The following is a 15,282-nucleotide window of genomic DNA, read 5'->3' as shown; positions in this document are numbered from 1 at the left end:
AACAGGCTCCTTAGAAAGTTCTAGAATCTGAGAGCCAGAAGGCGCCTAGAGAAGCTGGATTACATGATCAAGGTCGCTTCTAGTTGTACAATCCCAGGATTCTAAGGTCAAGGAAGGGACTCCTGTCCCTTGTCCTCCTCCCCCTTCCCTTCCATGTAGCCCACTCTTCACACACTCATGCACACACATACCCTCTACAAGCTGGGACTCAGATTGGTAGCCTGGAGGATGCCAAAGCAATGCTGTTTGTCCCTCAAGGCTGTCATCAACGAGGACTGGACAGTGGATTCTTTGCTCACTGACAGGGGATCAGGTGAGGACCGTGAGAAAGTGACATTTGGGCAGAGGCATGAGTGAAGAGGCCATGGCCATGCAAAAAGCCACAGAAAGAGCCCTCCGAAAAAGAGGGATGGCCAGTGCAGAGGCCCCAGGTGAGAAAGGGTTGGGCCCAATTTGAGCATTGGCAATGACAGCAATGTGGTGGAGCAGGCTGAGTGAGCCGTGGGAAGGTGTCTGTGGCGGTGGGCTGGCTTGCCTTTGTCCTTGAAAGAATCAGGGAGCCACCTTGGACTGCTAAGCAGAGGAGTCACAGGATCCGGCCCCCCTCAGGCTGTGGGGTGGAGCACGAGCAGATGTACTGGGGGCATAAGGGTAGGAGGTGGGAGCCACCGTGTGGCAGCTGAGCCCGCCAGGGGCCAGGTGATAGTGGCTGGCCAAGGGTGGAGGCGGGGTTGCGAGGAGGAGCGGGTGGGGTCAGGAGCATTTGGGCCTCAGGGTCAAGGTCTGGGGGCTGTTCCTGCTCTCCTGCTCTCCTGCTCTCTGCAGGAGCACCTACTACGTGCCTGTCCTTTTCCCAGGGCCCAGGGCAGCCAGAGACACAGCCTTGGGGTGACCCCCAGAGAAAAGGAACAGGCCCATTCTTGAGCTTTCCACATGTTGTCTGAGTGAAAACGACAGCAGTGTGTGGCACATGGGTGGCATTCTCTGGGGACATGCGCCTGCAGCTATCTTATATGTCAGTAACAATATGGGGCCTTTCCCCCTTAAAGCTTGGAGAAGAAAAAAGCCCCATTTTCCATGCCCTCTTCCTGTTGCCCGCAACTCTTCCCTAGAGGAAACCCATCTTATTTTAATGCTACTGAAACCTCAGAGGATCTGGTCCCAATTAAATGACTTTTCTTGCAGACGCTTTGGTGAGCACTAAATGCTTGAGACCTGGTGATCCTGAGCGAGAGAGCCTGCTGCGGGGTGGGGGTGGAGAAGAAAAAGGAGGGAAGGGGAACACAGGACCCCAAATGGGACAAGGGTGGCTGCGGATGGGGTGGAGGGTGCCAGTGGAGGGGGACTGCAGAGGGTGGCACGCAGCAGGGACCAGCCCATAGGGAGCAGGGCCGTGGTCGGGATGGGGGCAGAATAGGGGCCAGTTTCCCACCCTCTTTGCCCGTGTGAAATTCGAGTTCATTCCCGCCCATAGCGTGGCTTCGCTGGACTCCGTGTGAAAGCGGCCCCGCCCCATCCCCTCCGGTGGGCTTCGAGGACCTCGGCAGGGAACGGAGGTTGGGCAGAAGCTGGAGCTCAGGCCCGGCCGGGGAGCTCGGGCAAAGCAAGAAGGCGAGGCGGGCGCCCCCTCCCCCGGCCGGCCCTCCGAGCGGGCACGTTCGTGTTCCCGTCCTGGCGCCCTCGCTTCCCGCTCCAGACGCATGTGACTCAGCCCCGCCGGCCTTGCCAAGCCGTCTAGACCCGAGCGTCTCCCCGCGGAGGGGGCGATCCCGCCCGCCGCCGTTTCCTTTGCCGCCGCCTGCGCGGCTGCGCCCCGCGCACGTGCAGCAGCGCTCGCCCCCGCCCGCCACCTCCCGCGAGCCGCGTGCACGCGCAGCCACTCGCCCATCCCGCGCCAGCGCCCGCGCCCCCGCCCCCGCCCCCGCCCCCGCCCCCGCCTCTCCCGTTGCGTCCACTGCAAACAGGCAGTTCGAGGGCAGAAGCGGGAAACCCAAAGGTCCCCAGGGCCCCAGACCATCCCTCCCATTTTTGGGGCCCGGGGCAGGAGGACAAAGATGGACCGCTGAGCCACTGCCTCCCTGCCAGCCAGACTCTGTCCACACCCCCTACAACTGCCTCTGGCCTCAGAGCAAGGGTCGCCCTAGGTCGCAGGCCCTGCCCTCTTGCAGGAGCCTGTGGCCTGGGGGACAGGGCGGGGTAGGTGATGGTAGCACCTCCAGGCCCACTGGAGGCGATGGTGATGGCGATGGTGGTACCATGCTGACTGCGCTGCGGAATGTGCTCTTGCAGGAGCTGGTGGCCTGGGGGCAGGATGGGGCAGGTGAGGGCCCCTCAACTGCAGGAGGTGAGGGTGGGGCCCTAAAGCAGGAGGCCCAGCATAGGGACTAGAAGTGACAGGAAGAGGAAGCCAAGGTCCCAAGGCAGCCTCTCCATTCTCATATGCCAGTAGACTCCAAAGATGAACACGGAGGCCTAGGAGGAGAACGTTGTAGAGTTGAGTCTTCAGGCAGCTCCCAGGTTGACAGTGTGGTCCCTCCAGAGTTAGGGCCACAGGCCGCAGGGCTCCCCCAAGCTTACAGCCACTTCCTTGTCTCATTTGCAAGGCCCCCACCCCTGCTTTCGTGTTCTCCATCCCTTCCCCCATCTGCAAGGATAGGGCTGGGTTTCGGGTGGGCTCCTGGCTGGTGCAGATGGCGTGGGCTGCCCGCAAGACCTGGGTACTGAGCCTGCATGCCAGGATGCAGGGTGGATGGGTGACCAACAGCTCAGCCTGGCAGCTTAGCAGCAGAGAGGTCCCAGGAAGACAGGGAGGAGATGAGGAGAAGGAAGAGGGAGAGGAGGACAGGACGGGGAGGGAGGGGAGGGGAGGCAGAGGCAGCCCCCTGGCTTTGCCTTGCCTGCGGAGAGCCTCACACTCAGACCGTCCTGAGCCTGACCTCATTACTCTGTCACATTTCTCCCTCAAACCCAATGCCAGGGCTCACCACTTGCTTCTCGCATGGGTGTGATCAGCTTCTCATCTTAGACCTGAACTCTCCCCAAAACACACACACGCACACACACGCACACACTTGCCTTGTCTTCAACAGCTTGCATTTGGTACTCTCCACCCTTACTGAGGAACTTTAGTGGCCAGGGGTGGGGGGTGATGGAGGACACTTCAGTCCCTCAAAGGCTCCTCCCCAGGTTCCCTGGTTCAGGGCCGGGAGTCGAAGTGGCCCCGTGGAGCAAGGCCTTCTAGGGCTTTAGCTCTGACAGCATTCTAGGGCCTAGGCGCCCCCAGGTGGGGTGGCTCCCCCTCAGGTCTAACTCCAGCCCCTGCCAGAAGCAGACCCGCCTCTGCAGAGAGGAAAGCCCTTGGACTTCAGCTTCCTTTGATTCGCGGTGTCTTTGGGGGATTGGGGGGTCCCTGGTTGATTCCCGCTGCACCGTGGGGTCTGCCCTTAAGGTCATATGAAGAGCAGGGCCCGGATGCTCTGAGGACTTTTTCAATACCCTCCACAGGTCAGGGAGGCTGCCCACTTGGTGAGCTCAACTGTTTGGCCATATATCTCTGGGCCCACCACACAAACTGAGAGGTCTCGAATGCCACCAGCACCCGCCAGCCCATCTCTGGCACAGCGGGGCCAGTGCCGTGAACCAGTCTCATTTTCCAACGTGTTTTCCAAGCACTGACACGGCTGAGGCCCTGCTGGGACGCATGGCCAACTTTCCTCCATGACCAGGACCCCCCAGCTTCCCCGCCACATCCACAGCTTCCCCCCAACATCCCTCCTCCAGGTCAATGGGTCCTTCAGCCACATTTTTGGCTCCTGACCCACCCAGGCCTCCCTCAGAGAACCTGGGGTCTCTGGGTTGGAATGTCCCTTAGAGATGTGCCCCCTCCCTCCCCCATGGTAGGACTCAACCCTCCACATCCCCGCCCACCCACCTCCCTGGGCTTGTAGACCTTCTAGGACCGGGAGCTCCCTTCCTCTCCTGGCAGCCAGCTGGTGTTCAGACAGTGATTTCTGGGAGGAGTGCTTTCTTGGACTGAGCTTGAGTCCACATTTCCAGAAGCTTCTACCTCTGGGCCCCTTCTTTCCCCCTTCCTGAGAGGCCCAGCAGCCTCTCTGTTCCCTCCCCAGCCTCCAGCTTTTCCGGAGGAAGATGCCTGGGAGGTGCTATGATTCTGGGGGCGGGTGGTGGGTGGCAGGTGGTGGGTGGTGGGTGGTGGGTGGTGGGGTGGCGTGGGCAGGGAAGCTGCAGCCTGCTGCTGGGTCTTCAGCGACCATCTCCAGGGGCTGAGGGCTGGCCAACAGGTTCTCCATGAGGGGGATGGCCTCCATAACCTCTCAAGATGATCTTCGCCTCTCAAGGCCCTGCCAGTTCCTCAGGGTCCCATAGACTGAACTGCTGAGGTTGGGGAGGCCTGTTGAGCACACTGGCTCCGTGGAGCTGGGTGGAGGAGGGAGATTTTCTTCCAGAGTACACAGGAGCTGGTTTCTTCCCGGTCCTCAGGAGCAGAGAATATGGGGAGGGTTGGGGGAGGCTGCCACACTGCCGTGGTTTCTTCCGCCAAATTCCCCAGTCCTAGGAAAGATCCACAGAAAAACCCACAAGAATTTGAATGTCTGAGCTGGGGCTGTGATTGAGATGAAATTTTCTAAAAAGAAAGAAAGAAAAACAAAAACAAAAAAGAGGGAAAAAAACGCTTAAAAAAAAATCCCAAAGCCTTTGACAGCCCTCAGCTACCAGAAGGGCCTGAGGCAGCAGCCACGTGGAAGGGTAGAGAGCAACCTTGAGGCACTTCGCTGGGCCTGTGTCGGGGCCTCCCAGGCTGAGGTCCCTTCCTGTGACCCCCGGACTCCTGCCCGCTCCCTCCTCCCAGGACGGAGTGAAGTCCCCTCCTGTCACTTGGATGACTGCAGTTGCCTCCCAGCAGGTCCCTGGGTCTCCCTGACTATAGACTTGCCCCCTGATCCCACCCTCCAGGAGATGGCAGGGTAGGGCACAGAGGAGGGCACAGTGGCAGCTGCCTGCTGCTGTCTCCTGGCTACTGGGCACAAGCCACCCTCCAACTCCTTCCTGCCTTGCCCAATCAGCAGGTCCCTGGGTAAGGGGCATTCAGTGAACTGGGGGCTTTGCAGGTCTGGGGGAGGAGCGACTGACATATTTCATTGCAGACGCATTGAGTTTGAGGGTCCTGAGGGATGTAGAAAAATTTGTTAAGTAGACAGGATAGGAAGGAGCCACAGGTAGCCCCAGGAGCCGTGAGGGGAGCAGGGCCCAGCATGTATTACAATAGTGAGCATTTACGTGGTTCTTCGCATGCGCCGGGCACTGTTCTAGGGATTCCACAGGAATTATTACCGCCTGCCATCCTCATTAGCAACCCAGTGGGTAAGGTGCTCTCATTAGCTCCATTAGGTGAGGGCAAAGAGGCACAGAGAGGTTAGGTAACTGGTTCAAAGGCACACAGCTGGTGAGTGACAAGAAATTTCCTTCTAACTACAGCGTGAGCATGGTGAAGAGAAGACGGAGCCCCGCGCTGGGAGAGGAACGCTTCAGTCCGAGTTCCATTCTGCACCCAAGGCTCCCCTTGGTCCTCCTGGGAACCAGGGTGCCCCTTAGTGGTGGTGGCCCAGGAGAACCCGACCAAGGCAGGAGCGCCCCCTCCTGGAAGAGCCTCGCTTCAACGCATCATCATTCCCGGCCGGCAGCAGGGGCGACGCCAGCAAGGCCTGCGACTCAGAGCCAGCTTGGCCCGTTCGCCCCGCCCCTTCCCGGTGTCCGCCCCGCCCCTTTCCCGGTGTCCGCCCCGCCTCCTTCCCGGTGTCCGCCCCGCCCCCTTCCCTGTGTCCGCCCCGCCCCCTTCCCTGTGTCCGCCCTGCCCGCTTCACTGTGGTCCTGCCTCTGGGTGGTGCCGGGGCGGGGGGTGGGAGCCCGGGGCCCGCGCAGGCGGAGATGTCGCCCAATGGGAAGGGTCGGTCGGGAAGGGGGTGGGCGCAGGCGGGTGGGCGGGAAGAACGCTGGAGGTTGATTGGCGGTCTTGCCGGCCAGTGAAGCCAGGGCATGGGCGGGGCGCGGCTCGGAGCGCGAAACATGGCGGGGCAGGACGCTGGCTGCGGCCGTGGCGGCGACGACTACTCAGAGGACGAGGGCGACAGCAGCGTGTCCAGGGCGGCTGTGGAGGTGTTCGGGAAGCTGAAGGTGCTGTTGGCCCAGAAAGCCACTCCAGGGCGGGGGACCGGGGAGGGCCCCGCCCGAGGCCCGGGAGGGCTTGCTGCGGAAGTCCGCGGCGCCACGCGGCCACCGTCGCCGGTTCCGGCTGCGCCCTGTTCCCTTGCAGCAGGGGGTGCTTGTGGATCATTCATCTTTGCCCTTTGGTGTGCCCCAGGCCTTCGTTCTTGCTGTCTCCACGGCCCGTGCCTGGTAGTTGGGGCCAGCACCGCCTGTGGAACTGCAGTACCCGCGCTGGGCGCTCGGAGCAAGTGCAGACACAGAGGACCCAGGCCTGGCCTTAGGGATCTTGCGGGGTCTGGGGGGACAGATGGGCAGAGCCTCGTGCCACTCTGTCAAGTCAGCGAGACTAGGGCTTGGTGTCAGTTGGTGTCAGATGCCAGGGGTGATAGCCTCCAGAAGCCCTCTACAGCCCCACAGGACAGAGCCCTCACTGCAGCAGTGAGGAAAGCTGGCCCACGAGGTTAGGGAGCTGTCCCAGGTCCCCTCGGCCCGCTCGCTCCTCCCCCCAGACACTCCCCCATCCTGTCCGCGACTGGCTCAGTGGTCCCTCTCCCTTTCCCTCTCCCCTTTCCCTCAGTCCCGAAACCTAGGACTCTCTCTTAAGTCTTAGTCTCAGGCGTTGCTCCTAGGTCCTGCTGCCACAAGAGCCCAGAGTGGGAGTACTTGAAAGAGGTGGGGTCTGCATGCCGCGGGAGATGTGGGGTTAAGAATGGGGGGACTTGAACTCTTGGCAAGATGGCAGGACGCGGGTAAAGGAAAGGGTCCTGGGAGCTTGCAGATGTACACTGAGGACTGGGCGCGGCGGCCCACGCCTGTAATCCCACCACTTTGGGAGGCTGAGGTGGGCAGATACCTGAGGTCAGGAGTTTGACACCAGCCTGGCCAACATGGTGAAACTCCGTCTCTATTAAAAATACAAAAATTGTCCGGGCGTGGTGGCGCATGCCTGTAATCCCCCAGCTACCCTGGGAGCTGAGGCAGGAGAATTGCTGGAACCCAGGAGGTGGAGGCTGCAGTGAGCCGAGATCATGCCACTGCACTCCATCCAGGCTGGGCGACAGAGTGAGACTCCGTCTCAAAAATAAATAAATAAATAAAATGAAATGATGTACACTGGGACTTTCAGTGAATGTTGCTTTCCTTTTCCTTGCTTAGGACCTAAACTGCCCCTTCCTCGAGGGTCTGTATATCACAGAGCCAAAGACAATTCAGGAACTGCTGTGCAGCCCCTCAGAGTACCGCTTGGAGATCCTAGAGTGGATGTGTACCCGGTAATGCATCAGTTTCTTCCTCTTCCCACCTGGGGTGTGCATGGGCGCCAGCCAGCCCCACCTGGGGAAGATGGGGTTTGTGGTTACTGTGAGTAGCTGTCTTCCCAGAGGGCTCCACCCCCTAGCCTGGACCCTCGTGAGAACAGCTGTGTAGGTAAGGAGTACTGGTGACAGGCATGATCAAACTTGGGGCAAAGTGGCCCCTGGCGGTGCTGGGCTAGTCCAGCCACCCCTTTGCTGCAGTGCTGAACTTGCCCTCAGCGTTTGCCTTGCCTTATGAGTTTGGAGGTTCAGGACTGGCAGGCACCTGAGAAATGCTCCATTCCAGTCCTTTCCTTCTCAGACCCGGAAGCCAAGGGTCAGGCTGGAGGCATGAACAGTCTCTGGTCTCCCAGTGGAGGAGTGACAGGCAGGGCCAGGGCGTGGGCTCCTGGCTGGGTCTCAGCTGGCCAAGTGGTCCTCATGCAGTGTCACCTCTTGTCAGCTTCTGTGCCGTGACCCGTTTCCCAGTCCTCTGGTGCCTTTGGGCCAGGGTGTAGCATGGTGTGTGCCTGGCACCCTATGAAGCCCATGGTGACAGGGTGACTTCCTGAGTGATGGTGGAGGAAATGATCCAGAGTGTCCCATTCCCAGGGCAGACATCCTTCCCCTGGTGACGTAGTCCCTGAGCTGAGGGTCTGTCTCACTGCCTCACAGCTGTGAGTGGAGAAGGCTTTCCCCGCCTCCCACAGAGCACAGGCTCCTGTGGGATTGGGTGTGTGCCCAGGCCATGCTCAGGAACAGCTGTAGTCTGTTGGTACAGGAGCCTCTCGTGAGTCCAGGCCCGGGCCTCCCCCTCCTCAGCCTGCGGCCTGCCTACCCTTGCTGCTTGAGGAAGGGGCCTGGGCGGGAGCCTGGCAGTAGAGCAGTGGGGAGCCAACCTGCATCCAGCCGGTCTGGCCCGCCAGGACCAGAGACATCAGCAGGACGCCCAGCTGGATACAGGCCCCCAGAGGAAGGAGGAGGCGTTTTTGTGTTTGAGCCCTTGCTGTTCCAGAGGCGTCTCCTGCCTCTGCCTTCTAGGCCCTTCCTCAGGCCTCTCCCCAGGGCTCAGCACAGCAGCTCCTCGCTTCATAACCTTTTGCTCTTGCTCACATTGTTCCCCCTCCTGGAAATGGCCTTCTAGTCTCTGCATGTCGTACGTCCTCCTGTACAGCCCGCAAAGACCCAACTCACACGTCCTGTCTCCTTTTAAAATGTTTCCTGTTCCCAGGGCAGAATGTATTCCGCTTCCCTCTGGATGCCCACAGCCTTTGAGCACACCCTGCCCCTGCTGGAGCCCTCAACCTGTGGGTGCACTCTTGGCCTGCTGTCATTTCCGGCTCTTTAGTATGGGAGCCGCAGCATGGTGTGGCCGTGCAGTCGGGGGGTTCTCCAGGCTGCACCTGTGTGCCATTCCACGCGCTGCAGACGTGACTGGGTGTCCTCAGGAGCTGGGTATTTAGTGGGTACAAGTCCTGGGGTTCAGCAGAAATGATGCACAGCACTGCAGTCTGAGTTGGGTGCTGTGGATGTTGGCAGGGAGGAGGTGGCATTTGATCTGGGATGGGGACGGTAACAGCGGGGTGCTCGTTTGGACAGGAGCAGGGAGTTGAGGTGTGGGAGAGAGAGCTGGGCAGCAGCAGCTGGAATGGCAGCTCAGGGCAGCTCCCTCAGGGCCTTGCATGCTGTGCCAAGGCCTTTGAGCTTTATGTTCTGGGCAGGGCAGGCGTGGAACCTGGGGAGCGACGTGCTGAGATTGGCATTTTGGTAAGGTGACTCAGGGTGCTCTGTGGCAGATGGATTTGGAGGGCAATGGCTGCAGGCAGGGAGACCAATACCCCAGGGAAAGACAGAAGGAGCCCTGCGCTGAGTGGCAGATGGCTTGTCTGGCAGCCACTACTGGCCCTGGAGGGACCAGCCCCTGGCCTGGGAACCTGGGAGGCTGGGAGGTGAGGCAGGACTGGAGATGGCTGGGTGGAGTGTGAGGGTCTTGAGCGAGCTCCCAGGAGGAGGCTCTTGTGGGAGGGGGCGCAGATTTGCCTGACTCAGGTGGAAGCTGGGGGCACTTGGGGAACTGGGGTCATCTGGCCAGAGAGGGACGGGTAGGAGGCCAAAGCCACGCCCCTCAGATGCTTCTACAGGTTGAGTGTCCCATATCCAAAATGTCTGGGGGCCAGAAGTGTTTCAGATTTCGATTTCTTCGGATTTTGGAATATATGCATTATACTGGTCGAGTGTCCCTAATCTGAAAATCCGAAATCTCAAATGCTCCAGTGAGCATCTCCTTTGAGCGTCATATCGGCGATCAGAAAGTTTAGGATTTTGGAGCATTTCAGGTTTTCAGATTAGGGATATTCAACCTGTAGTACTTCTGTAAATACCAGAAACCGAATCCTTTGAAAAAGCTGCCAGGGAGCATACGATGACGTTGTCTGATTTCAGGTTGGCGAGAATTCCTTAGGCCTTTTGAGGGTCCTACAGGAGAATCAGATGGATGGGAGTTTTCCTGTGAATTTCCCATTGCCTTTCTTTGTACGTGACCGCACCCTGTCAGCCCCATTTAGGGCCGCCTTTTCATCTCCTCCCAGTAGAACCTGGAAGCTGCACCTAGTGTTGGTCCTTGGTGTGGGTTGGGGCAGAGCTCATGGAGCCCCCTGGATTGTGGAGGTCAAGGCCCTGTGGCTTTCCTTGGGGCCTCCAAGGCCTCCAGCATTTTCTGTTCCTGCTCTGCCCTCTGCTGTGACGGTGCGGTGACTTGAGTGACAGCCCTTACTGAGTCTGGCTACTGGGGCTTCTGCAGCGTGGGTTTTGAGTGTGTTCAGGGTTTACTGTGCCCGCCCTTGCACAGTGCTGGGTGAGTGCCCTCTGCTCCTCCGAGCCTTGTGCTCAGAGATGTTCTCGGCAACCCCGCTGGCAGAGCCCAGCCTGCTGGCCTCCCCCTTCCTTCCCCAACCCCGCTTGCGCAGAACCCACGGTTGTCTTAATAAGTCACAGAGGTGGGTGGTGCTGTGGAGGCAGCCAAGCCCAGCCCGATCTCTGTTGCAGTTCTGGGGCAAGTGTGGCCTCTCCAGGGAACAGCCACCAGCCCTTTCCCACCACACGAGTCAGCAGGCTCCTAGAGTGATGGCAATGGTGAGGTGTAGCCAGGCTCTGGCAGCCTGGTGGAAAGCGACTCCTTCTTGTTTATGAAAGGCTGCTGTGGTGGCAGGTGCCTGGGGCTCCCGGGTAAGAGCCTGTGGCCCCAGCGGCCGGAGTGATGTTTCTGGGCCTCAGTGTCATACCGGGCTTGAGGCATGGGGCTTGGGACTGGGGATGCAGTGCTTGGGCTGTGCTCCCCTGAAGGAGGAGACCCAGTGGAGGGCTGAGCCGTGTGTCACCTGTGGTGCATGTCTGGGTGTCGTGGGACTTCCTGCCTTCCATGCGCTGTGCATGTGGATCTGGTTTTGCCCACCAGATGGCTTTTAAGGTGACATGCTTCTGAGCGGCCCCTGTGTGCTGCAGTCAAGGGCAAGCCTTCACCGTGCCCAAGGTGATGAGCCTCGACTGTGACCACAGACTCTGTTGCGGCAGGAGCCCCCACATGACTGAATGCAGGCCTCACAAGCCTTTTCTGCAGAGGGCCGGGTGGGAAGAAAGTTTTCCACCCTGGAGCAGTTGATGCCGACCCAGGCGAGGCCGGGGAGGGTGCCAGGAGCCCGGGGCCAGCCCTCAAAACCCACCCGCTGCGCCATTTCGAGAAAGAGCCCTGAGTGCTGGCAGCTTCCCTCTCTGCCTCTGCTGCAGCCATCTTTTTTTTTTTTTTTTTTTTTTTTGGTCTTGAGAAGAATTTTCATTTCAGTATCCAGATTCATTTCTGTATCCAGATTTCCGAGGTAAACTTCCTGGAATATTCTTTCCCTAATAATTAATGGAAATGAAATCCACGTGACACAGAAGTAACCACTTTAAAGTGAGCCGCTCCGTGCCGTTGAGCACGTGCACAGGAATTCACTTCTTCCAGCGCGTATAGAGGGCCCAGGGGGATTCTCTGGCTGTCTCCGGCCTGACCAGCTCTGCTGTTTCCCTGCAGGGTCTGGCCCTCACTGCAGGACAGGTTCAGCTCACTGAAAGGGGTCCCAACAGAGGTGAAGATCCAAGGTAGGTGGAATCTTGGTCCATTCTGAGCTTGTCCACAGCCTCCTTATGGAGTGGTGGTGCATGTTCCATTGGACCAACGTTTTCTTTTAGGTGGTGCATGTTGTGTGGATGTTGCTAGAGCCTTCTTGAACCCCACCCTTCCCTAGGCATGGCAGGTGGGAGAACTCCTCTCGCAGGGACCTAGAGCACATCAGTCCCTGCAGCGCTGGTGGCCAGAGACAGAGATTTTTGCCGATGCCAGCAGTGGTTCCGTCTCCCTGTGTCAGTGGTGTGTGACACGCTCTCTACAGGTGGCATTTCTAGGGGCACCTGCTGCTCTCCAGCGGAGCTTGCCTTATAACCTCCTTTCTATCATTTCTTGGTAGAAACCGTGCTTAACCTGGTAATGAATGTTGGATAAAGGTGAGCAAAACTGCAGTCCCCAAGTTGGTGGCTAACTTTTCATCTTCATGGTGATCTCTCTAGAAGTTGGTGGAATGTCAAAGGTCAAATTTTTCATGGGCCTGTGTCTGTTCTGGCCACTCCAGGGTAGATAAGCTGGACCCTGGAGTCCTGATCCGTGCCCCAGCTGGCATTGCCACATGAGTTATCTGGGGCCAGTTCTTCCTGTGCTGAAGTGGGCCAGAAGAAGGAGGTGTTGTTTTAGAGCAGCCGGTGGGCTGGCCTGGGCCACACAGAGGCACTGCCCTTCTCCCTGGAGCTGCCGTGTCTGGTACATTCCAGATTCTCTGACCCACACCAACACATGTGTGACCCGACCCAGCCCAGCCTTAGCCCTGACACCGCCATTCCCAGCCTGTTTCCTCTCCTGTCAAGTGGGGATGAAACCCAGCCTTGCCTACCTCATGGGAATATACTGAGTGTCAGGCTTGTCAGAGGGCAGGTGGGAGAGACCAGGACCAGTAGGGTGTGAGGATAGTTCAGGAATTCATCCGACGAATGGTTAAGGAGCAGCCACCACATGCGAGGCGCTGTTCCTGGTGCTGGGGTGCAGCAGTGAGTTCCACTGCCCTCGTGGCGCTTGCGTGCTAGCGGGGAGAGACAGGGCCAGAGGGTGGGAGAATTGTTCATGCACCTGCCAGCGAGAAGCACTGGGAACAGCCAGCTGAGGGCTGAGGGTCCTGCAGGGCTTGGGGAAAGGGTGGTGCTGTCTTGACATAAGATGGCAGGAGGGGCGGAAGCCAGCGCGGCATGTGCGGAGAGGAAGAGCATGCGCACAGGGCCCCAGGTGGGCTGTGCCTGGCAGCTTGGAGGCACAAGAAGGAGGCTGGTGTGGCTGGAGAGCAGGGCAGGGCAAGGAGTGAGGTTGGGAGGGGACGGGCCAGATCAGGCCAGGCCATGTGGGCCCCAGAAGGACGTGGGCTTTGACTCCGAGGAAGGCCGAGTTCTGCTCTTGGCTGTAACGACACCCCTGGCCCACTGTGCTGGGAACAGGGTGCCCGGGGAAGAGGCAGGGAGAGCGGTGTGGGGCTCTTGCAGTGAGTGGTCCAGGTGAAAGTTTGGAGAGGCAGTGCAGGAGGCAGCGCTGGCCAGATCTGGATTTATAGAGTTGGCTGGACTCGCTGAGAGGAAGAGAGGGGTCAGGGAGGACTTGAGGATGTGGGGTTAAGGGCAGTGGTGGAACAGGCTTGCCTAGGCATGCAGTTGGCATTTATATGGTGGTTCTGGGGTTACTGAGTGCTTCCCCACAGACTCTCTGCTTACTTCTTGCAACAAACCCTCCAGGGTTAGGTGGAGGGGCAGGTCTGGCATCGGCCCCAGGCTTTCTGGCTCCAAGTTACTCAGAAAATGCCCTGGGCACCCTGGCAGATGTGGCTGGATAGTCTGCAGTGTGCACGGCGCCAGGTTCCCCATGCATGAAATGGAACAAGGTCTTCCACCCCCAGGGCTGCTGGCAGGGTGATAGCAGATGATGGCACGAAGGTCCTTTAGGACATGGCCAGATGGGAGCGGTGAGTCCATTTGCTTTGGCCTTGTGAGGTCTTGGAGAGAGTGGCAGACAGTGCACTGTAGAGGTTCACTGACCCCTGTCCACTCCTCAGGCAGCTGCTGGCTTCTGCTCAAAGCCAGAGTGAGTGACCCCAAACCTGGGAGAGCATTGGGTACAATTCCTAATTTTCAGACGAGGAAGCTGATGCCCAGAGAGGGGTGGGGCCACTCAGCAAGAGGCAGCGCTGGCACCTGGGTGCCTGCCTCCTGGCCCACCCTGGTCTCCTATACCCAGTCTAGTCTGTGGGTGCTGGGCTTCCTGGGTGTCTGCTGTCCCCTGCTGTCTGGGCAGGTGCCTGCCATGATGGGCTCTTTGTGTTTCAACAGAAATGACGAAGCTGGGCCACGAGCTGATGCTGTGTGCGCCAGATGACCAGGAGCTCCTCAAGGTAAGAGGGCCTCTGTCTGCTCTGCAGACGGCACGCACGCTTTCTGCCCTGGGCAGGGAACCTCATGGTGCTGGCTGAGGTGGGAGGATTTTCCTCCCCTAGTGCCTTTGAGGTTCCTCAGGCCCTGGGGCCGGCTGGGTGCCCGGGCAGGCTGCTTCTCTAGGCATCCCTGGGGCCAGAACTGCTGGGATTCTCTTGGGTAGAACCTGGTTGTCCCTGGGGCGCAGGGGAGAGGGCAGCCGTGCAGGGAGGGGCAGATCTCTGGCTTCTGATGACCAGTGGGATGGAAAGTGTCCTGTCCTTGGTTGATGACTTCATTCTTCATTCATCCCGGCGCCTGGCTCCCAAGCCCTTGTGGCCCGAGAGTTTCTCCCGAGGTCCCTCATCTACCCTGCGGTAGGTCAAAGAAACTCCAGCACCCACCTTCTCGTTTCTAAATTTTGAAATAATTGTTTTCACTCGATGATTATGAGTAATGCTACTATAAACATTCTTGCATATGATTTTTGACTGAACACGTTTTCTTTTTTTTATATCTGAAGAGATTTATTCACGTGACCAATGGCCTATGACACAGCCCCAGGAGGTCCTGAGAACATGTGCACAAGGTGGTTGGGCTACAGCTGGTTTTCTACGATTTAGGGAGACATAAGACGTCAGTGAATCCATGTGAGATGTACACTGGCTGGTTGAACACGTGTTTTCCATCCTCTTGGGTGTATAGCTGGGAGTGGAATTGCTGGGTCACAGGGTCACTCTGTGCTTAACTTTTCGAGGAGCCCCCAAACTGTTTTCCAGTGCGGCGGCACCATCTTCCTTTTCCAGCAGCAGCGCGGGAGAGCTCCAGTTTCTCCTCGTCCTCGCTGGCACTTGCTGGCATCCGTCTTGTTGATTCTAGCCACCCTGCTCGGTGTGGGGTGGCATCTCATTATGGTTTTGATTTGCATTTCCCCATGACCAGTGATACGGAGCGTCTTTTTGTGAGCTTGTTGGCCATTTCTGTATATGCTTTGGAAAAATTTCCATATTCATGTCCTTTGCCCACTTTTTAATTGGGTCACTTGTCCAGTGAGGTTTTTTTTTTGTTTTGTTTTGTTTTTTTTCTTAATTAGTAGACTTAATAATTTAGGGTAGTTTTAGGTTCACAGCAAAATTGAGCAGAAAGTACAGAGAGTCTCCACAGGCCCCCTGCCCCACACATACACAGCCTCTCCCGCCATGGACACGACACCCTGCACACGGGGGCTCCT

The 15,282-nt window shown here is 58.5% G+C and overlaps 1 protein-coding gene across 6 annotated transcripts in view, besides 6 other annotated features; it reads left to right on the top strand.

Moving 5' to 3' along the window:
* HAUS7 (HAUS augmin like complex subunit 7) overlaps positions 1-15,282 on the top strand; it is a 47,798-nt gene that overhangs the window by 18,824 nt on the left and 13,692 nt on the right. For 3 of the 6 annotated variants that reach the window (NR_169630.1, NM_001385482.1, NM_001385481.1), the window contains exons 1-4: positions 6,066-6,192; positions 7,381-7,496; positions 11,587-11,654; positions 13,971-14,032. Coding sequence is in view for 3 of the 6 variants with exons in the window: in NM_001385482.1 (NP_001372411.1) it covers positions 6,085-6,192; positions 7,381-7,496; positions 11,587-11,654; positions 13,971-14,032 (354 nt within the window). In the remaining 3 variants the exon portion in view is untranslated. Of the gene's footprint in view, positions 1-5,496; positions 6,193-7,380; positions 7,497-11,586; positions 11,655-13,970; positions 14,033-14,381; positions 14,429-14,574; positions 14,641-15,282 lie in introns of those variants that run through there. The other 3 variants (NR_169631.1, NM_001385483.1, NR_073156.2) reach the window with 2 other exon arrangements.
* Positions 128-667: an enhancer, noted in NCBI's record as "H3K4me1 hESC enhancer chrX:152741433-152741972 (GRCh37/hg19 assembly coordinates)". NCBI's record gives its function as "activates a minimal SCP1, AML or CMV promoter by ChIP-STARR-seq in naive H9 embryonic stem cells {active_cell/tissue: H9 hESC(naive)}" and the evidence as "EXISTENCE:reporter gene assay evidence [ECO:0000049][PMID:30033119]".
* Positions 5,537-5,831: an enhancer, noted in NCBI's record as "tiled region #9358; HepG2 Activating non-DNase unmatched - State 4:PromP, and K562 Activating DNase unmatched - State 1:Tss". NCBI's record gives its function as "activates a minimal TATA promoter and a strong SV40 promoter by Sharpr-MPRA in HepG2 and K562 cells {active_cell/tissue: HepG2 | K562}" and the evidence as "EXISTENCE:reporter gene assay evidence [ECO:0000049][PMID:27701403]".
* Positions 5,537-6,014: a biological region, named in NCBI's record as "Sharpr-MPRA regulatory region 9358".
* Positions 5,705-6,014: a silencer, noted in NCBI's record as "silent region_21063". NCBI's record gives its function as "represses an Ori minimal core promoter by ATAC-STARR-seq in GM12878 lymphoblastoid cells {active_cell/tissue: GM12878}" and the evidence as "EXISTENCE:reporter gene assay evidence [ECO:0000049][PMID:35858748]".
* Positions 6,345-6,444: an enhancer, noted in NCBI's record as "active region_30034". NCBI's record gives its function as "activates an Ori minimal core promoter by ATAC-STARR-seq in GM12878 lymphoblastoid cells {active_cell/tissue: GM12878}" and the evidence as "EXISTENCE:reporter gene assay evidence [ECO:0000049][PMID:35858748]".
* Positions 6,595-6,774: an enhancer, noted in NCBI's record as "active region_30033". NCBI's record gives its function as "activates an Ori minimal core promoter by ATAC-STARR-seq in GM12878 lymphoblastoid cells {active_cell/tissue: GM12878}" and the evidence as "EXISTENCE:reporter gene assay evidence [ECO:0000049][PMID:35858748]".

Source organism: Homo sapiens, chromosome X (assembly GCF_000001405.40).
Source record: "Homo sapiens chromosome X, GRCh38.p14 Primary Assembly".
NCBI classification, from domain to species: Eukaryota; Metazoa; Chordata; class Mammalia; order Primates; family Hominidae; genus Homo; species Homo sapiens.
Note: the sequence above shows the minus strand (reverse complement) of the source record. Positions and strands in the feature narration are given on the sequence as shown.